The sequence below is a fragment of the Homo sapiens genome, chromosome 6 (genome assembly GCF_000001405.40).
Source record: "Homo sapiens chromosome 6, GRCh38.p14 Primary Assembly".
NCBI classification, from domain to species: Eukaryota; Metazoa; Chordata; class Mammalia; order Primates; family Hominidae; genus Homo; species Homo sapiens.
Genome location: NC_000006.12, coordinates 150,993,396 through 151,015,268, shown reverse-complemented (window position 1 = coordinate 151,015,268; position 21,873 = coordinate 150,993,396). Strand labels below are relative to the sequence as shown.

The 21,873-nt window shown below is 42.7% G+C and overlaps 1 protein-coding gene across 28 annotated transcripts in view, besides 2 other annotated features; it reads right to left on the bottom strand.

Moving 5' to 3' along the window:
• Positions 1–21,873, bottom strand: part of MTHFD1L (methylenetetrahydrofolate dehydrogenase (NADP+ dependent) 1 like) — a 236,186-nt gene that overhangs the window by 86,619 nt on the left and 127,694 nt on the right. For 23 of the 28 annotated variants that reach the window (NR_146719.2, NR_146720.2, NM_001242767.2 and 20 more), the window contains 3 exons: positions 5,311–5,450; positions 1,449–1,490; positions 289–389 (listed from right to left, as the gene is read on the bottom strand). Coding sequence is in view for 24 of the 28 variants with exons in the window: in NM_001242767.2 (NP_001229696.1) it covers positions 289–389; positions 1,449–1,490; positions 5,311–5,450 (283 nt within the window). In the remaining 4 variants the exon portion in view is untranslated. Of the gene's footprint in view, positions 1–288; positions 390–1,448; positions 1,491–5,310; positions 5,451–6,919; positions 21,846–21,873 lie in introns of those variants that run through there. The other 5 variants (NM_001350490.1, XM_047418619.1, XM_047418616.1 and 2 more) reach the window with 5 other exon arrangements.
• Positions 4,838–5,574: an enhancer, noted in NCBI's record as "OCT4-NANOG-H3K27ac-H3K4me1 hESC enhancer chr6:151330831-151331567 (GRCh37/hg19 assembly coordinates)". NCBI's record gives its function as "activates a minimal SCP1, AML or CMV promoter by ChIP-STARR-seq in naive and primed H9 embryonic stem cells {active_cell/tissue: H9 hESC(naive and primed)}" and the evidence as "EXISTENCE:reporter gene assay evidence [ECO:0000049][PMID:30033119]".
• Positions 5,575–6,313: an enhancer, noted in NCBI's record as "OCT4-NANOG-H3K27ac-H3K4me1 hESC enhancer chr6:151330092-151330830 (GRCh37/hg19 assembly coordinates)". NCBI's record gives its function as "activates a minimal SCP1, AML or CMV promoter by ChIP-STARR-seq in naive and primed H9 embryonic stem cells {active_cell/tissue: H9 hESC(naive and primed)}" and the evidence as "EXISTENCE:reporter gene assay evidence [ECO:0000049][PMID:30033119]".

The following is a 21,873-nucleotide window of genomic DNA, read 5'->3' as shown; positions in this document are numbered from 1 at the left end:
CATTCACAGTTTGTTTCAGACAAAAATGCTGGGTAGAATTAAAAAAAAAAAAAAAAAAAAAAGCCAAGGAGATAGTAACTCACTATATATAAATTTCACTTCCTTAATAACATTGTGAGAACACATTTGCTAAAATGAAACCAAACCAAATAAACAAACAGAAAGAACTGGGTATTTCTGTATACTTTTAGATGAAGCACAGAAAGACCAAATACCCCAAGACACAAATATCGTTCACAGGGTGGCCTAGTGATAATGCCCACATTTAAAGGAGGAGGCTGGACTTACTTGAAGACATTCAGAGCCACCACAACGGGAACCCCAAAGAGCTGAGTGATCTGAATTTGCTTCTGGAGGTTACAGCAGCCGTCTGCCACCAGCTGGATGTTCTGTAAAAAAGAAAAAAGCAAAACCCAGACCCCTGTGTATTGTCTCCCACCAAACCTGCCAAGCTAAACTGCCAGCACCTCTCTGGCAGGATTTGCTACATCTTTTTTCACTTTTTCCTCCAAGAAAGATGGCTGCAAGAATAAAGAGGTTCGTCTTCAAAATAATTTCTAAAATGATTCTGGATCCAATGGCATATGGGTGGGTCTGAAGCCTGGCAGCTCACCCTGCTGAGGACAGGCTGCAGGGTCTATGCAATGCGCCCATGCTCTGCAGGTTGAGGCCTGACAGGCACAAGGCCCCAGGTGGGTGAGGAGCTCTGACCAGGTATTCCTGGCTCAGATCCCTGGCGCCACCTGTAGGAGCTAAGAGGTACTGCTGCCAGCAAATCAAAGTCTATTTACAGAAAAGAGTAAGCCACTCCTGTAAATCATAAAGCCAACTGTATATAGACCTTCCATGACAAAAGAATACAGAAGTGTAAGCTTCATATTTGTTTCTGACCTGGAGACCTTGAGTTCCTGCTCTGATGGCTACCCTGGGAGTACACAATAGTAGACAAAGCCTATATCCATCTTTTCTTGATATTTAAGAGTTAACTGAATGAATTTTATCCTTTCATCCCATCCATTTCCTCTCGGATTCTTAGAACGGCACTTTTCTTTTCTTTTTTTTGAGACAGAGTCTCACTCTGTCGTCCAGGCTGGAGTACAGTGGTGCGATCGCAGCTCACTGCAACCTCTGCCTCCCAGGTTCAAGCGATTCTCATGCTGGGACTACAGGCGTGAGCCACCATGCCCAGCTAATTTTTGTATTTTTAGTAGAGATGAGGTTTTGCCATGTTGGCCATGGGTTTTGCCTGGCTGGTCTTGAACTCCTGGCCTCATGTGATCCGGTCGCCTTGGCCTCCCAAAGTGCTGAAATTACAGGTGTGAGTCACTGCGCCCGGACAGAACAGCACTTTTCTAAGAGGCCACTGAAGGAGGGCTCATTCACTGAAAGCCAACGAGTCACTGGATTTAAGAGATTCTTCACATAAGCATCTAAACAGCTCCTCTTACCTCCTCTGTATATTCTTTCTTAAGAGGAACACCAGCCGTTACCTGAAATAAGGAGAGAAAACATGAAGAATAATCCTATAAAAATGCTTACACAACCGATCTGAAAGAAAGAACAACATAATCACATTCAATTTTTAGAAATGTACCTCTATGTTTTGTGCTTTTAAAACAGTAGCTGGCAGCACTGGCTAAACCTAAACTCCTGCGGGAAGCTTTTAGAAAACACTGATCCCTGGGCTCCACCCAGACCAATGAAAGCAGAAGTTCTGGGAGGGGAACCTGGGATCAGTAATGTTTAAAATCTCCCTGGATGATTCTAATTTGAGCCAATGGAACAGTATGAAACTTCTCAAACATTGGTTCAAATTAGAACATAAAACTAATAATATGTTTAATACTTGATTTATACAGAGTACATCACCATTCGAAATCATTTTACGGTAATTGCCATAAAGTTCTGTTGTCCAGGCTGGAGGGCAGTGGCACAATCACAGCTCACTGCGGTCTCAAACTCCTGGGCTCAAGTGATCCTCCTGCCTCAGCCTCCCCAGTAGCTAGGAATACAGGTGTGTACCACCACACCCAGATAATTTTTTATTATTTTGTAGAGACGAGGTCTTGCTATCTTCCCCAGGCTGGTCTCGAACTCTTGGGCTCAAGCAGTCCTCCCACCTCGGCCTCTCAAAGTGCTGGCATTACAGGGTGAAACACTGTGCCTGGCCTTGTGGTTAATCTTATGTGTCAACTTTGCTGGGGCCATAGGGTGTCCAGTATTTGTTCAAACATTATTTTGCGTGTTTCTGTGAGGGTGTCTATGATGAAATTGATATGGAAATCAGCAGCCTCTGAGTAGGCAAGTTGTCCTACATAATGTGGGTGGGTCTCAACTGACCAGTCAAAGGCCTTTTTGAGTACAACAAAAAGACTGGCCTCCCCTGAGAGCAGGAGAATTCTCCAGCAGACTGCTGCCTTCAGACTGCATTAGCACCACTGCCTCTCCTGGGTCTTCAGCTTGCCAGCCCACAGTGCAGATTTTGGACTTGCCAGCTTCTGTAATCATGTGACCCAATTCCTTACAATAAATATCTTTCTCTATATATACACACATCCTTATTGGTTCTATGTGTGAAGAATGCTGATTCATACAATGGTTAGTTTAAAGATCTAATTGTGAAAGAATCTGTGGATCCCAAAGCATAGCACAATATTAGTTATTGGATTGCACTGGGAATGGCCGAGCACTCTGGGGGACAGGATGTGAGTTTAAAATGACTGAGGGCAAATTTAAAATGGGCAAATTCAAGGGCCACAAGATTTTCCACTGTACAAATTATGGAAAAAAAACAAGCTGAATAAACATAAGAGGCAGCCATGGTTATTTGTGTAATGATCAAAAGGAAGTCGATCCCAGCGCAGTATTTGTAGCAAAAAAGAAAAAAGAAAACAGAAGTAGAAATGAATAATCATGGTTCAAAAATACAGAGCTATTCAATATGAAGGAAGGACACCGAGATGAGCACTATGGAATAGAGGATTAAGAGGATGAAAGTTCATTTATCTTGCCATTATTGAAAACACTCCCTGCATATAGACCATGCCAGACACTTGGACCATACCAATTAATAAGACACAGTCCCTAAACTCAAGGAATTGAGAATTACATAGGGAGACACAGAACAAGGCATTCATGAAACAATGTGAGGCAGAAGGTACTACTGGAGCCCAGGAGAGGGATGCCTAGCTTCACAGGGCTTCCTGGTCCCTGCTGGTTTTTTTTTTTTTTTTTTTTTTTTTTTTTTTTGTTGTTGTTGTTGTTGTTGAGATGGACTTTTGTTCTTGTCACCCAGGCTGGAGTGCAATGGTGCAATCTCAGATCACTGCAACCTCTGCCTCCCAAGTTCAAGCGATTCTCTTGCCTCAGCCTCCTGAGTAGTGGGAATTACAGGCGCCCGCCACCACTGGTCTTGAACTCCTCAGGTGATCCACCTGCCTCAGCCTCCAAAGTGCTGGGATTACAGGCATGAGCCACCACGCCTGGCTGGTCCCCACCTTTTCTTATCCTCCACCCATATCTGTGCCTACTAACCCTGTTCCATGTTACCATGATCACTGGCTGAGAACCATGACATTAAGCAGCAGTGGAAGAGACACAAAGGATTAATGTGGCACGAAAGTGCAACCACTGAATAACAGAGCACATATGTTAAGATGAATGAAATAGGATTGTAAACCATGTAGAGAATTTTTACAGGACAGAGACCAGAGTCTGGAAAACTATGGGACTGATGTCAAGAGACCAGGACTGTAGATCTGATCAGTCCCTGAAATAGATGTGTGACACCACTCAAGTCACTGCGTCTCCCTGTGCCTCAGAGATTTTCTCTTTATAAAGACTGAATGAGATCAGACAATCTCTAAGCCCTTTCTATAATTTTCAGGGTGGCAGGGCAGGGAGGGAGAATTCCAAATGCATCCTACATGGGCGGAAGTAGTTTTTAAAAATAGAAGTTGTTATACAGATTCAATGTCTAAAATCCAGGAAGGACTGTAGCAACAAGGGGTGTTTTGAGTGAAGTCAGAATTCTTTATGATTTACTACTTTTAATCTGTATTATATCATTCTTGCATTTGAAATGATGATGAAGCTTTAGGCAAAAATGAAGTGCTTAAGTGTCGGGTATTAGGAGTGGATTTGGATTTAGAAAACTTCTGCCCTTCATTAACATCCAGCTCTGCATGGTGGACATAGTAGGAGATTTAGATCTGAAGTTCTCGGCTCTCTGCTGGCCTGCTGACATTGTCCATATTCCCTAAGCCTATCAAAACTCAGCTTCCTTATCTGTAAAATGGTATAAAAATCATGTCCACCTCTCCCAGGAGAAAGAATTGCTTTACAGCGTTTCATGATGGCAAACCTGCTACTTGTTTTGACTATGCAATAATCATTGAATATATGACTTTTGTCACATACACAGTACAGTATACCAATTAAGAAATCAGATTTGGCAGTTCGTCTCATATGTGAATATTATGATAGAGAAATTTTATTTTATTTCAAAATGATTAATCAGTATAAAATGTCTTATTCTCCACTTGGAAATTCCTAAAAATGAAACAAAAAAACAACAAACAAGCAAACAACAACAAAAAAACCCCCAAAAATCTATGCACAGGTTTTCTGTGGAAAGGAATATATTTCCTTTATAATGTCTGTAATTTCTATATATATTAGGATAGGTAAATATAAAAAGTCTTTAAAGAAGTTAAAATCGAATTTGTGTTTTCCAAGCAAAGCTCTTAGAAACAATCCAGTATTATAACAGAGTTGTGAGGAGAAATCATAATAAACAGAAAGAGAAGGAAAATAGTTTTAGATGAAATCTGATGAGTTGCAGCATCAGTGAACCGAAAAACTATCTGTACAAACAATGAAAAATCTCTGTCATCAAAGAACTCACTCTAATCCTCTTGTTCTTCGTTCAGGGACAAGAGCCTCTAACCTCCCATTACCATATGGTTATACAATCTTGGCCTGAGTATCAGATGTGAAGCTTGAGACTAAAAAGTGGTTGCATTATGCTCCTTTCCAAAATATTGTTTAGAAAGAACTGTGGGTGTTACTGTTTACTCGAACTTACTAAACTCAAAGTGCCCTATGGTGGTGTTGGGAAAAAACAAAAAACAACACAAAACAAAAAACGTTTTAGATGTCCACGAGGGAGGTCTACAGGAAAAAAAAAGTTTTAAGAAAAATACTCTAGAAAACTATAGTCATTAAATGGGCAGGAATTTTTCAAATGCTCAATTCTGTTTTAACATAATGAAATTTCTTTGGTATTAGGAAGGCGGTGTGGGCACTTACACTTGGCCCGCCTCCATGCATCTTCAGAGCTCGCACCGTTGCCACTAACACAACCACGTTGGGCACCAAGCCGGAAGCTCGGCACTTGATGTTGAAGAATTTCTCCATTCCGATGTCAGCACCAAAGCCAGCTTCGGTCACTGTGGGGAAGCAAGTGGAATATGTGCTATTATCTTCTAAAAACAAAGGTAGGTTTTGGCAATCACCACTATGATTCGAGCTCAAAGGACAGCTTACATTCCTTTTGTTTACCAACACAAAGGTGAACTGATTTCCCCATTGTCATAGAAATGTTCTTCACTTTCTGCCCTAAAGAGACTGCGCCCTCCTCTGCTTCCCACCGCCAGGCCTGAGGGATTCCTTGTGGTGGCCAGGCCAAGACTTTTCTTCCCATATCATAACTCACAGTGAAGCTTTTTTTTTTGGAGATGGTGTCTTGCCCTGTCGCACAGGCTGGAGTACAGCGGCATGATCTCGGCTCACTGCAACCTCTGCCTCCCGGGCACAAGCGATTCTCCTGACTCAGCCTCCTGAGTAGCTACAGGTGTTTGCCACCACACCTGGCTAATTTTTTATTTTTGTATTTTTAGTAGAGATGGGGTTTCACCATGTTGGCCAGACTGGTCTCAAACTCCTGACCTTGTGATCCACCCGCCTCAGCCTCACAAAGTGCTGGGATTACAGGCGTTGAGCCAAGGTGACCAGCCAGTGAAGCTTTTCTTCATACAGATGGGGATTTTCAACTTTGTAATCAGGTTCCAAATTGTTTCAAAAGGCAATGATAGTATGATTACAATGGAAGATCCTTTCTTACTCTTTTTTTTTTTTTTTTTTTTGAGATGGAGTTTCGCTCTTGTCCCCCAGGCTGGAGTGCAATGGCACAATCTCAGCTCACTGCAACCTCCGCCTCCCGGGTTCAAGCGATTCTCCTGCCTCAGCTTCCCAAGTAGCTGGGATTACAGGAACCCACCACCACACCCGGCTAATTTTTTTTTTTTATTGTTAGTAGAGACGGGTTTTTGCCATGTTGGCCAGGCTGGTCTCAAAGTCCTGATCTCAGGTGATCTGCCCACCTTGGCCTCCCAAAGTGCTGGGATTACAGGCATGAGCCACCACACCCGACCCTTTCTTACCCTTTATATTAAGAATAATTTATTTTAGTGCCACCCAGTAATTTCTGTTAACTGACAAATTTCAAGTTAGTTGAAGGGCATAAGGATACTGATGGTCAATCTGGATACAAGACAGCAGCTTTATTAGAGAAACACCAGAAAACACTCGTTTCTAGTCCCCACCCCCTCAGTTGCTAGAAAGGTCACAGCTGCCTTTCAAGATAGCGAGGCACTGGGTCAGTAGTATCTTCTTCATACACAAAGAGCTCTAGGACCTTGCTGCTCAATGCGTGATTCGTGATCAACAGCATCAGCAGTATCTGAGAGCCTCTAAGACATGTGGAATCTTGGGCTCCCCACAAAGTTTACAGAATCAGAATCACATTGTTACAAGATCCCCAGGTGAGATGATTGTCCATTACAATCTGGGAAGCAAACCACTCTAGGAAGGGAATACTACTGAGTTAATACAAAGTAAATGTTTATGAAATACATACTTATATGCTGACGGTATGACCAGGACACCGATCGGAACTGGCGGGAGAAAAATTAACTAAGATATCAGAAACATTTAACATGATCAGTTTCCTTGCTGTGCTACAAACTTTCAAAATTTACAATTATAAGTGGCAGCTTATAATTTTGTTAAGTTGCTGTAGCAAGATTTACAAAATTGTTCCCCCTGTTACTGAACATTTGGGTTGTTTCCAATATAAACAATACTGCACTGAAAATATTTGTGCCTATGTGCTTTAATCTCTTTCAAATTACGTTCTTGGAATAAATTCCCAAGGGTAAGGTAATAGGGCCAGAGGACATAAAAAATTTTTATGACCATTGATATGCTTTTGACAAATTAAAAAAATTACATCAAAAATGTTCAATTTGGATAAATATAGCTACAAGCCATTTATCCTTTATTATGTGTTATTTGAACAAACAAAGTGGCAGAACAATTTCGAGAAATAAAAGACATTCCTCTTTATATAGTATTTGGGACAAATCTTGTGATTTTACTTGTAGTGGTCAAAATCAGAGAAAATCACTTACAGTAACAATCCTTACCTCAGTGGTACCTCCTGGTAATGCATTTGTTAACTTTAGCCGTTGGTGGCATCATGGACCCCAAAAGAGGGATAATCCGGGTGACTTTTGTCAAAAGTCATCACTGAGTGGGCTCCTGGAGGTGGAAGGCTGGACAATAAGGCCCCAGTACTGGATTATGCGGCGCTGTCCTGCAGGTTAGCACACGGACGGGACCCCGGATCCCTCCCAGCTGTGCACCTTGGCAAGTTCCTTGTTGGAAGGGTTAAGTGAGACGGCACAGGTACATTACTGAGTCACTGGGGTTTTTCTTGGTGCATACTGAGAACTCACAAAAATAGTTCACATCTTTGTAACCAAAAGGATAATTCTCCCACTTGCTAAAAATCATATTGAATTCCTAAGCATTTGTGGGAATTCCTGCTCCATCCAGGCGTTTTTCTCACTGGTAGAAGCTCACTCTTAGGGTCACTACCCTGAAGCCCTGCAGGGAAGTGGGAGAGAGAACATCTGCTATTCAACTAGAGAGAGCTGGAGGGCGGCACACTGGGAGGGACGGAGTTTGCCTGGGAGGGTTGGAGAGAGGGGGTGATGGAGTCAGGCTCTGAGAATCAAGTAGGATTTTTCCAAGCAGAGAAATGTGGAGTTGGGTATGGCAGGCAGAGACCAAGAGGAGGAAGGAGAGGGAGGAAAGAAGAGATTCATAGGTAAAGGCAGAGCCAGGGAAGAAATGGTCATGATGAAGGGAAATCATCCATCATGACTGGAGAAGTCATTATTTCACCAGCAAGACTGGTTCACTGGCCTGATTAGTACCGGGGAGTGGGACTGAAGTAACCCAAATGTTACGCATTTTTTTCAATGCCATGGTATTTTGAAAAACTGTTTAATGTCGCCCTATAGTTGGAGGTAGATTGTTGCATACATTTTACATAACGGGGGCTGATCAAGTGATCTCTAAGTTCTTTCCAACTGGATGCATATTTATGTGTTAAACTACCCTGTTAGATTGCAAGCTCCATGATGATACGGACCATGTGTTTGAGACATTAACATGTCAAGACACATAGAAGGCACTGAAGGAAAGTCACCATCTATCTCCAAACCAAATAAAAAGAGAGTAGCAGAAAAGCACATCTAAAAACACTTGGACACAAATATATTAATGAAAAGTTTCATTTATAACCATTGAATGCCCTTGAAAAATTGCAAGCTCAAATTCCCTTCAAAAACCTAGCTCCTCCCCCCTTCAATGCGCCCGTGTAGTCACCATGTTCTCCTGTCTTCAGTGGTTCCTGCTTCCCTAAAGTGCCTTAATATAAAAGTCAAGGCCACCCTTGTGTAAACTTCCTTCCCCTACCTTCATCTTCCTTCACACTCCCTGCCTCAGACTTCGTGCCTCTGTAATATCAAGCTTCCGGCACAGCCCACATACTCTATGTTACTTGTTGTCACCTCCAGACCTCTTTTCCCATGTGGAACATTCCTCTCTCCCCTCTCTGCCTCTTTAACCCGCTGTCCAAGACTCAGCTTGGATGTGCCATTTCCTGGAAGCTTGTCCTGATGCTTTCGGGCAAAGTTGGCTACTCCTCCCGCCCATCCCACCCTCCCGGCCCTGTGGTGTGCTCCCTTGCAGGGCCCTCATCTGTCACCACATGCAGCATCCTAAGTACACTGACGTGCCGTCTCCCACATGGAGGGCGGGACCACGCCTTATTCATCTGGTAGCTCCACTTCCTAACGCAGTACCTGGCACAAGCAGGTCAATGAAAAAACAGGATGGGACTTGGGAGCCAGTGATGTCAAGGCCACACTTCAATGGAAATAGACACATAAAATAGCATTACATAGAAGTACAAATATGTTCTTAGTCCTCCCTATCATACTTCCCTTTTTTTCTTACAATACTACAATGGTTTTACTGAAAGGCATAAATGTCATATCCGATAAAGATATGACCATCTAAAACATCTACACAGGCTAGCTAAGCTTAATTTCATATTTTAATTTACTTATTCATTTATTTTTGAAACGGAGTTTCACTCTTGTCGCCCAGGCTGGAGTGCAATGGCACGATCACAGCTCACTGCAACCTCCGTCTCCTGGGTTCAATTGATTCTCCCACCTCAGTCTCCCGAGTAGCTGGGATCACAGGCACCCGCCATCATGCCCGGCTAATTTTTGTATTGATGGGGTTTCACCATGTTTTATTTTTAAAAAGAGACCAATTGGAAACAAAAAAGTAGTAATAAAGAGAACTCTAGCTAGGGGACGAAAACAACATGCAGAAGTAAAGGTTCGAGGAGTTTGGCTTCCAAATGCAAAGGAAATAGACGAAGAATGGGAAGAAAATAAAAGAAAGTGCCAAATTCTCTCAGTTTGAAAACTGTCCTGAAATGCTGCATGTAATCACTTTTATGTCGTTTGTATTCAAATATCAGGCTGCCAAGGAAACAGAACATGGAAAAGGTATGCTGATGTGTAATCAGTAATTATGAAAGTAAAAACTACTTTAATAAGGTGCCACCAATTACTACGAACTTGGACACTGTGGAGTGCTGTGTATCTGTGCCTTAGGGGGCCTTGATATGAAGACCCATCTCGTGAGAAGGGGACAAACCACTCTTATAGGAAGGTTCCATTTCCTAGGTACTTCTTGGGAACTGCCAACATATATAACCTATAGGTTAGGTTTTCTTAGTGACTTGAAATGAGCAATTTATTCCCTTATCATATTTGCAGTTCTTAACAAAGCTTAAAAGAGATACAGGCCAAATAATTATTTAATGTTAAATTCAATATAGACTTGTTCTTAAGTCATGAAGCAAGTCCACATAGTAGGATTTAGCTTTGCTGAAAGGCATATCACGTAGACTTCTGAAAGCTGCATATTTAATAAGGCTTGTAATAAATTGTTTGCACAAGCCATAAGAATTATTTGTCTTGGCAATCTCTTTCCCTTTTGTTACAGCTATTCAACTTACAATATGAATGAAAACAGGAAACGCTGACTAATACTCTTATTGTGCAAGCACAGAAGCTGCTAGATAGTGATTCTATAGCATGGTTTGATTCAAACTTAAACCCGTAATCAGCTGAGAAAGGAAGGGTCAGTGGGTCTGAGTTGGGAAGGGACAATTTGGGTAAATACTGCTAGCAACCTGTACAGGAAACAGAGCTCTGGGTTCAGATGGAGAGTCAAAACAATTCTGGAAAGCCAGGCAGCTGCCTTTCCATGATCATCCACGGGTGCGGCCAGAGTTGTGTTGTAAAAATTAAGCAGAAACAATGATAACGGCAGAAACGAGAACACCAGAACAACACAACATTCCTGGCAGGCAAATGTAGTATCCATGATATTCTTCAGGGAGGGAGAGACGATTTCTACATCTTAAGTTATTCTGTATGTCCCCACCTTACTGCACACATTAAAGAAAGCTGCAGCGATAATTAGGACTTGGATTTTTTTGTTTGTTTTGAGATGGAGTCTCATTCTGTTGCCCAGGCTGGAGTGCAGTGGTGTGATCTTGGCTCACTGCAACCTCCGCCTCCCACGTTCAAGTGATTCTTCTGCCTCAGCCTCCCAAGTAACTGGGATTACAGGAGCGTGATTTTTGTATTTAGTAGAGACAGGATTTCACCATGTTGGCCAGGCTGGTCTCGAACTCCTGACCTCAAATGATCTGCCCGTCTCAGCCTCCCAAAGTGCTGGGATTACAGGCGTGAGTCCTGGCCAGGACTCAGATTTTAAAGTAATCACCAATCTCTCTCTCTCTTTTTTTTTTTTTTTTTTTAAAAAAAAGCATTAACATCCTCACTTCATTAGAAGGCCCTTTAAAATATGGGTTCATAAAACCCTACAGCTATGTGGGAACTGTATGGACAATGTACTCTAACTTTCTCCTGTGCACCAGGCCAGTTACTTTCTGGAGATAATGACACAAAGCCCAGTGTGGTGCCCCCGGTCCCTCTGATGCCCAGCCCAGGGTTCTGTCTGCTACATATGGCATTCTCCTCAAAAACATCATTAAACACTCACATCACAGAATTCAAGAACAACCTTTCTTTCTTCTCATTCAATAATTACTGAACCCCTACGATTGTGCCTAGTGTCTTGCCTAGTGTTTACACACAATCATCTGTGTGCCAGTGTCTTCATTTAGTGGAGAAACAGCCACAGGCACATTTTTAACATGACAAAGATGGGAAAGATTAATTCATCACCTAGTGAAAAAGAACGTCTTTCTGACCTTTCCCCCCTTTTTTTTTGGATATGGAGTTTCACTCTTTTTGCCCAGGCTGGAATGCAATGGTGCGATCTCGGCTTACTGCAACCTCCGCCCTCCAGGTTCGAGCGATTCTCCTGCCTCAGCCTCCCGAGTAGGTGGGACTACAGGCACCCACCACCACGCTCGGCTAATTTTTGTATTTTTTGTAGAGTCAGGGTTTCACCATGTTGGTCGGGCTGGTCTCGAACTTCTGACCTCAGGTGATCCGCCCACCTCGGCCTCCCAAAGTGTTGGGATTACAGGCGTGAGCCACGGCGCCCGGCCAACTTTTCTGTTTTTAATGTGTTTTTTGTTGTTGTTGTTGTTTTTCTTGAATTCTGTTTGGTACTTTCAAAATTGTGCTTATTTACCTGGATCCAGGTAAATTTGAATTCAGTTCTGTGCCACACTGATTTTTGGATGTTCTCATGCTTTAGTGCATTCACAGAACCCATTTCTGCAGAATCACAAATCCTAAGTACAGTTCAGCCCTTCTCGACTGGAGGCGGTTCTGCCTATTCCGCTCCCCACCTGGACACTTAGCAATGCCTGGAGACATTTTTGATTGTTGTAAATGGCATCTAGCAAGGATGCTGCTAAATATCCTATAATGCACAGGACAGCTGGGACCCTCCCCCCGCCAACAAGGAATAATCCACCCAAGGTCTCCATAGCACTGAGGCGCCGACAGCTTGCAGTGGCTCACGCAGGAGGAAGGAGCCTGGCGCTTTCTAGACGCCTCCTCTGAGAATATTACGAATGCACTACATGCTAGGCAGAAAGATTGTGCAAGATCATTATGCTAATCGTTGTAACCCTGTGCACTGTAAGATCCTGGAATATGAATTATCGCAGTAAAAATTCCGTCCAGCGTGGTTGGGATGTGTTGCGTCAACAGTATGGTCGCTACAACCCAGCACTCTCTGGAGAAGAAAAACAGTGATGAGGTGACTGCTGAACCAGCTTCACAGGGAAGAAGGGAAGGTCAACAGAAATGCTCTCAACATGGGGCAGCATGGGCGGCGGCAGCTGTCCGCCTTACCGCTCAATGTGCACACGATGGGGAAAAACCATTCTAAGAGACCGAGGCATGGGGAGAGGGCCTCAAGTTAACATTTGTGAAACATTTTCTATGTAGCCAGGCAATGTACTAGGTGTCCTGTCTCACTTCACCTTCAACATCTGTGAGGCATCTTTCTCCTCCATTTACAGTTTATGATACTAAGGACTGGAAAATTTTATAATTTTCCCCAAGGTCACACAGCTATTAAGCGATAGAGCTTGGACTAAAACCAAGGCCTGTCTGCTAGCAACCTCTGCCAAAGTCCCTGCTCCATACTCCTCATCAAACAATCAACTGATCACATAGCATTTCCCTAGCTGAGCTGCTTGGTCAGTTTTGCTTTCAGTGAAAATCTTAACACTTGGTACTTCAATAATACTCCAGCATTTAACAAGTAGCTCTAAATTATTTTCCTGAACTGAGAGGTAAGTGTGTCCAGGCTTTTGTTCTAACTGCAATAAGGCCCTGCTGTGATTACCAAAGTATGCAATCTAGAATGTTCTTTATGATCCTCCTTCCTTTCCACCCACCCTCCCTTCCTTTACTTAAGTCAGAGTGCTTGTTGTCTCTTTTAGAGCAATTCATTTAGAGATTATAAATCACCTCCTCTGCTAGTTCTTGGTCCATGTGTCAACAGTGATGAGTTCTGGGGCAGCAGCAGGGAGTATTCTGTTTGACAAAGAAACACTTCAGAGAGAGGATGCTCCAGGGACCACTTCCACCTGGACTTGGTACCCAACCCCAGGCAGGAACAGGCCACACAGGTAGAGAACACTGGCGCTGCAATCCGGCCTCCTGAGGTCCAGGTATTTTACCCACTCCCAGCCGAGTGATCAGATCCCAAGACTTGCCTTCCTAACCTCCCCCAGCCAGGCACCAGCTCTCCCTTCGCTGGATGGGAAATGAGTGACCCCAATGCTCTAGCCTGGGTTTTCTTTTCAAATTTTACTTTCTGTTGTCAGCACATGTGCATGGAGGGAAAAGAAAAGGCAAGAACCGCTTTAGATCTGAAATTCTCATTTCTGCTTTTACACTGGGGAAAACCCTCCTTGGACTTTGAAAAATAGTTAAACTGAAGTGCTGAGATAGTTTTTCCGTAAAGTTTTCTTAATTTCTACTTGAAATACCTGGATGTTGCCACCAGAATTGCAAATTAAACTTCTGCCTTGCTATGGCACTAAGAGGTCCTTTATTCCATGGGTACTCAGAAGATAAAGAAATTAGAACTGTCGGATTTCATGGCTACTTCACAATGGTAGCAACTTTTCTCTCCATGTGTGCAACAAACATATATCAAATATACAACATATTGAGTTCACCATTACGTCTGGACACGAACTTGAATTTATGGACTGCCAGAGGTTTCACAGAAGAACTAGTCCTTGCAACTAGCTCAGCTCAAAATAGGTTAAGAAATATGAGCGCACGGGGCGTATCTGGCTAACTTAATCATCAAAAGAATTTCTTGTAAATAAGAAAGAAAAATAAAACTGTAGCTTTCATTCAAGTAAAGGCTACACTTTGCTTCCTCACAACAAATCAAAAACAAAAATAGAAGCTTTGTAGAGGAACAAGCAAGGTGTATGCTGGACAGTACCTCATTCTGAAGCGCTGTTGGTGTTAACTGCCAAACAGTGCTAAAAGAAATAGAAAGTAGAATCTTCAGGCTGCCTTTTTCTGCCCTATATAAACATGTTTATTCAATGGCAGCTGTCTGCAGATAAACTCAAAAAAAGTCACAGCAACACATGAATTCTGAACTTGAATTAAAGGGGAGAAAGTGAGGATTGTAATGACTTTTTCAGTGACTACCAGGAGACAACACCAGGATAAATCATTCAATTAACTATAAGAGAAATTCGGCATTATTACTGCAGCTTAAAAATAGAACTTTGTTTAGAATATATTAATTTTGAGGATCCAACTCATCTTAAGTCAATGAAATTTCACTAACCACTAAATCCTTTCTGCTCTTTAGGATTTGTCTATTCAACATATAACCCTGTTTAGTTTTATTAAATATCTTGGAGTCGAATTTCCAGGAAGTATATAGAACTAACTAGACACATATCAGGAGACCTAAAGGAAAAAGAAACTGGCACAAACCTCAATTTTTTTCTTTTTTTTTTTTTTTTTGAGACAGAGTCTCTCCCTGTTGCCAGGCTGGAGTGCAGTGGCACGATCTCGGCTCACTGCAACCTCCACCTCCCTGGTTCAAGCAATTCTCCTGCCTCAGCCTCCCGAGTAGCTGGGACTACAGTTGTGCACCATCACACTCAGCTAATTTTTGTATTTTTAGTAGAGACGGGGTTTCACCATGTGGCCAGGATGGTCTCAATGTCTTGACCTCGTGATCCACCTGCCTCGGCTTCCCAAAATTCTGGGATTACAGGCATGAGCCACCACACCCAGCCCAAACCTCAATATTAATATTAGCACATGCCCTTCTTCCTTTCCACCTCTTTGGTGATGACCAAGTTCATACACATTAGGGGAAGATTGGAGGTGGTGCACAGAACATGAGGAAGTTACTGGGGACGTATTTGGGAAAAGCGATAGAGAAAGTAAGCAGTGTAAAGAGGAGACAGGTACACGTGAACATATTTTTGGTTGTAGTAAAAGCTTTGAAAATACCAATACCACTTAGACGTGCTTTTGTGTCAGAACTCAGAATTTCCTTCCTCCAGAGCATTAATTAGTTACAGACACCGGTTTACATTATTTAGAACCATCATGAGTCATCTTGTTTTGTAAGATGATTTTGACCAAAGTGAAATTTAATTTCCAAAAAGAAATGTTTCGATGAATATTATAAATTATACACATTTAAAATTATATGATTATACATGTAATAAATTATATAGGCTTATTTTTAGCTCCTTTATAAAAATCCATCAGAATTAAATTCATAAATCCATTATCCAAATAGTTCCCATGTTCTTGTAGGGAACAAGAACAGTTTGTACAGTGCCATGACTATGACCAGAGCTTTAAGCCTTCTGCTCTTGGCCAACAGTGGTGTTCCCCAATCCTGGTTAGAGGCCTGGGATTTTGGATGATTGCATGAGGGAAGAGCTCTATTCTTGCAACTCCTGAGAACTGGACACCAGGAAGTTAACTCAAAACAAATGAATTCTGACAGGCTTGGCCATTAACATGATTTAGCCCAAAATAATGGAAAGATGACACAGAACACTTTTTACTGAGCAGTTATGAAAACAAACCCAAAAGGGAAAGAAGTACAGAATTATGCAAAATGGTTGCAAAATGCAACATGGAAAATGCAATTATGCAAAAATGGTTGGCACCAGACTGAAGTGATTTTTGGCTTTTAAATTTTTTCAGATTTTGTAATATTTGCATATACATAACGAGATATCTTGGGGTTGGGACCCCTGTCTAAACATGAAATTCATTTATATTTCATATACTCCTTATAGACATAGCCTAAACTATATATATATATGTATATATATTTTTTTAAGACAGGGTCTCCCTCTGTTTGCCCAGGCTGGAGTGCAGTGACATGATCTTGGCTCACTGCAACCTCTGCCACCCAGTTCAAGTGATTCTCCCACCTCAGCCTCCCAAATAGCTGGGACTACAGGTGTGTGCCACCGTGCCCAGCTAATGTTTTTTTTTTTTTTTTGTATTTTTAGAGGAGACAGGGTTTCATCACCTTGCCTAGGCTGGTCTCGAACTCCTGAGCTCAAGTGATCTGCCTGCCCTGGCCTCCCAAAATGCTGGGATTACAGGTGTGAGCCACTGTGCCTGGCCCTGGACAATAGTTTTAATAATTTTGTGCATATATGAAAGATTTAACTGCATGCTGACTGCAACCCGCCACACGAGATCAGGTGTGGAATTTTCCACTGGTGGCATCATGTTGTCACTCAAAAAACTTTGGATTTTTGAGCACTTCTTTGGATTTTGGATTTTTGAATTAGGGATGCTTAACCTGTGTAAACAATAAAAGGTAAAAACATTTTACTTTAAAACTTCCTAGGAAAGAACAGTTTCAAAAACCATGCAGTAACTTTTTTTTGGTACCATTAATGTAACTTAGCAAGAGAAACTATGATTATTGAATTCAAAAACAAAGTAAATATGCCAGCATTCCTGGCAGGACAACTTAGATTACAGAATAAATTAAGACAGACAGAAGGAAAATATCTTAAACTTTACAATTATAAGATCGTACAATGTAGTAACTCAATACAAGCAGGCTGATCATGGACTTTTGAACCAAGATAGAGTCCCAGTAGTTTGTCATTATATAAATTTACAGAATTTCAACCAGCATTTAAAAAAAGGAAATAAAATAGGATAGAAAATTATTAGACTACATCATATATAGTAAGTGAAAGTAGCACTGTTTCACAAGATTTTGATTCAGTTTTTGCACACACATGGTGTCATATAAAATGCAATTGCTGCTCTGGATTTCAGTTAAACATTCAAGAGTCACAGGCACAGAGTCTACCTCTGGTGATTCCTTATTTAAGAAGGGAAGAGACGGACCTGCCACTTTGTGCTCATGCCTAGACCTACCGGTTTCTCACAAGCAGATCGATTTAATGATTACTCGGGCCTGGCCTAAAGAATCTGCTCAGTTTTGGTACAAACAGCAGAGGCAGCTCCCATGAAACAATATTGCTGGTGTTATTAGTCAGTGTATGTATTTTTTTTGTTTTGTTTTTTGAGACAGGCTGGAGTGCAGTGGTACGATCATAACTCACTTCAGCCTTGATCTCCAGGGCTCAGGTGATCCTCCCACCTCAGCCTCCTGAGCAGCTGGGACCACAGGTGCACACCACCACACCTGGCTAATTTTTGTATTTTTTTTGTAGAGATGGGGTTTTGACATGTTGCCCAGGCTGGTCTCGAACTCCTGGGCTCGAGGCATCCACCTGCCTTGGCCTCCCAAAGTGCTGGGATTACAGGTGTGAGACACCGTGCCCAGCCTCAATGTATTTATACTTAGGATCACAAAGCACAATCATAGCCCAAAGATGAAGAAAAACATCTTCACTGTTACTCGCACTGATCCCGTGACCCATTGTCACAGACTTGGAGCCGGACAGCAAAAATGTAGCATGAAAACAAATGAAGTAAGAAGAATCTTCAGTCAAGCTCTGTTCAGTTTGAACGTTATTTTGTAGAATATTGGGAAGTTGTTTTTTAGAGCAACCTACACCCTTGTCCAGGGCTCAGCACAGTACCAGCAGTGCACTCATCGGCTCAGGCACTAGCCCGTGGCCCTCACTGCCCTACAGGAAAGACAGGTCTTGGTCCTCAGTATGGATAAAGGAAATGAGCCCTCAGGGCTGACCAGGACACAGTGCTGAGAAGCTGGGACAGAGCTGGGACAGCGCCCAGGAGAACATGTCAGATCAATGACAGCGGTAAGAGTCAGGTGATCAAGTGAGAGGTTAAGGGCCCCTTTGGACCCATCTCAGCCCCTGAGGTAGTGAGTCTGGGATTCGGTCAGTGTTCTACCCTCTCAGTGGCCCCTGGGAGCAGAGGTGGCTCTTTTCCCAGCTTTCTCCACCGCACCTAGAAAGCAGGCGAATTCAAGGCAGAGGGGATGAAAGAAGCATAGCATTCAGGATCTTTCAGAGATAAACAGAGGGCCTCTGCCATCAGAGGAACCTGCTTCTACACGCCTACTTTCAGGGGTCCATAGGCAAACCTCTATCTTGGAATGTGAGAGCCCAGTTCCCCAGCTTAGGTCTCCAACCCAGCTGGAGAAATGTTTTGCCTTGTGAGGAAGTCATCTTGAGACTGAGGGTAACTTGGCCCAGCCGGCTGCTCAGGCCTGGGGCTGTAGGCTCAGCAGGAACCAGGGCTGAGCTGCAGAGTTTGAGAAGAGTCCACAAATGTAATATATGGGGGACAACAAGGGAGTGGTTTGTGTAGAACACATAGATCAAGGAGGAAATTAACATTGAAGGCTAAACAGGGGGTTTTTCTGCTGCTGCTGATGTTAAGAATGGTGACAAGAACCAGGCATGGTGGCTCACACCTGTAATACCAGCACTTTGGGAGGTAAAGGCGGTAAGATCACTTGAGCCCAGGAGACCAGCCTGGGCAAGATAGTGAGACCTCACCTCTGCAAAAAAAGGAAAGATGACCTGGGTGAGCAGATGGTTGATCAAGTCAAGGTCTCCAAACTCAACCCATAACACACCTGCTATTTCCTACCCCACTGGTGTAGTGGTCCATTTTGGGGCATGGAGACAAGAACAGGCCACACTATCTTCCTTTTCCTGGGTCCTTCCGGTGTGCCCAAGAAGGCACCCTGCTGCCTGTTCAGTGGTACTGGATGGTAAAAGCATTAACAGAAGCAATGAGGACATCCTGAAGAGGCCCGCAGTTCATATCTACATTTGATAAAACCTCAAACTACAGATAATAGCCTTGAAAAGCAGGGATGAGCATTTTTTGTTGTTTTGGCTTATTTCCAAAATAACTTCTGTTTATCAAATTAATATATTATTAGAAATATGTTGGCCAGGCACCGTGGCTCACGCCTGTAATCCCAGCACTTTGGGAGGCCAAGGCAGGTGGATCACAAAGTCAGGAGTTCAAAACCAGCCTGGCCAACATGGTGAAACCCCGTCTCTACTAAAAATACAAAAAATTAGCCTGATGTGGTGGCAGGTAATCCCAGCTACTTGGGAGGCTGAGGCAGGAGAAATCACTTGAACCTGGGAGGCGGAGGTTGCGGTGAGTCGAGATTGCACCACTGCACTCCAGCCTGGGCAACAAGAGCAAAACTCCGTCTCAAAACAAAAGAAATATGTTATTAGCGATATGTTATTGGAAAATTTAATGTAAGGAAGAAAACAAAAAACCATAAATCATTTTCACTTTATGTCTCAGGTTATCTTTGTACCGTTGACAAAGGAATGATGTCCTTGAGATGTCCCGGTAAGCATTTTTTTTTTTTTTTTTGAGACGGAGTTTCGCTCTTGTTGCCCAGGCTGGAATGCAATGGCGTGATCTCAGCTCACCGCCACCTCCGCCTCCCAGGTTCAAGTGATTCTCCTGCCTCACCCTTCCTAGTAGCTGGGATTACAGGCATGTGCCACCACGCCTGGCTAATTTTGTATTTTTAGTAGAGACAGTGTTTCTCCATGTTGGTCAGGCTGGTCTCGAACTCCCGACCTCAGGCGATCTGCCTGCCTCGGCCTCCCAAAGTGCTGGGATACAGGCGTGAGCCACCGTGCCCGGCCTGGTAAGCATATTTTACAGGACAAAAAGTAACAAAAATCAGGAATAATTCTCATGTTCCCATCTCCCCACCCCTCCCCCATCCCTAAGTCCAGAAGTAATTTGTTATAATTGCCATCTGGTATAAAAGAAGAACAGACCCTCAATTTGCCACCTTTCCCTCCTCTTGAGATGTCCTCAGCCTGACAAAAATATGATTAGTTGTATTATACAGGAAAATACGAAAGATATATAAACATTTAATTATTATGTTTATTATACTGGCAAAAGATATGCATTAAAAACAAGGTTTCATTATGCCTAATTGGCTTGCAAATCTCGGAGAAAGGTTCCTGAAGAGCAGTTTGGGGCTCTCCCCAACAAAGATATCATTCTCTACCTACATGCTTTATCTGCAATGTAACGATGCCATGCTCTAAAGACGGTTCTGTATCCCAATCGATTCAACTAATCTAATATGAAGCTTTTCTCCATGACACTAACTACCATATAATCTTCCACTGTAAGACTGAGTCCTGATTTATAAAACTACACTCTTACTATTGGATGTGTCCTAAACTCTTTTTCAAAAATGATCTGTGATGCACAGAAGAATGAAAGGGTGGGCTGGTCAGTTTGGTTGATTTAGAAGATAATCCTAATCATGTCTGTGTAGAGAAGTCATAGGTCTTCTTGCCTAAACTCTGGTTGACCACCTGACAGATGCTGTCAAAATAGAGACGATGACACAGATGACGGGATTAACTCAACTCTGTGTCTAGGAAAACCTCTTGAACTGTCGTCACGCTGACAGTGGATTGGCAACTCACCTTTCTATTTCAAGAAGAAGAGGTAGAATCTGAATGTCTTCGCTTGTCTTGCAGCTAAGTATGGCTGTGTGACTAAGGTCACTGATGAGATGTAACCAGGTATGTTGTATGTGATTTCCAGGAAGCCTCCTGAAAAGGGGGTATGCCTTTCTTCCTTTTTCTTGCTGATTGGGATACAGATGCAATGGCTGGAGCTTGTGCAACCATCCTGGACTACCAGGTAGCACAGAACCCATGATGATCAAGGAGTTGCTAAACCAGCCCAGACTGGCTACCCTGAACTTCCTTGATGTGAGAGAGAAATAAACTTGTATTATAGTGCTGGGTCACTTTCTTTCTTTCTTTCTTTTTTTTTTTTTTTTACTGTTGTTGTTATTTGTGGGTAAAACTAATCCTAACTGACTCATTTGCAAATACAGAGACTACTGAGAAACATCATAGCATTTTTCATTTGTATCATTTCAGTTTGCAAACTGCTTCAACACTGCGCAGTGTTTTCTTTTTCTGCACAATGTTAACTCTGAGACTAAAGTCAAGGTTACAATTCTAATTTAGAAGAGGTGAGACTTGCTTAAAGTTTTGCTGATGAATAAGCTAAACTTTCAGAGGCTGAGATCTTGCAATAACTCTTTAATTGACACCCCCAAGCTACGCCACTGAAGGAAACAGAGAGGAAGGATCGTAAGCTCCAGACACTGAGTTAAATCAAGACAGCAGAAATCGGTACTTACGGCACTTTGGAGGGGCACAAGATCTATGTGCAGGAATCCAGGAGCTTTCCTGTTCAACTGTCCTTAAAAACTGCTTTCACACTAGGCCGGCTGTGGTGGCTCATGCCTGTAATCCCAGCCCTTAAGGAGGCCGAGGCAGGAGGATCACTTAAGGCCAGGAGTTCAAGACCAGCCTGGGCAACATGGCAAAAACTCGTCTCTAATAAAAATACAAAAATTAGCTGGACGTGGTGGTGTGTGCCTGTAGCTTGAGAGGCTAAGGCACAAGAATCGCTTGAGCCTGGGAGGAGGAGGCTGTGG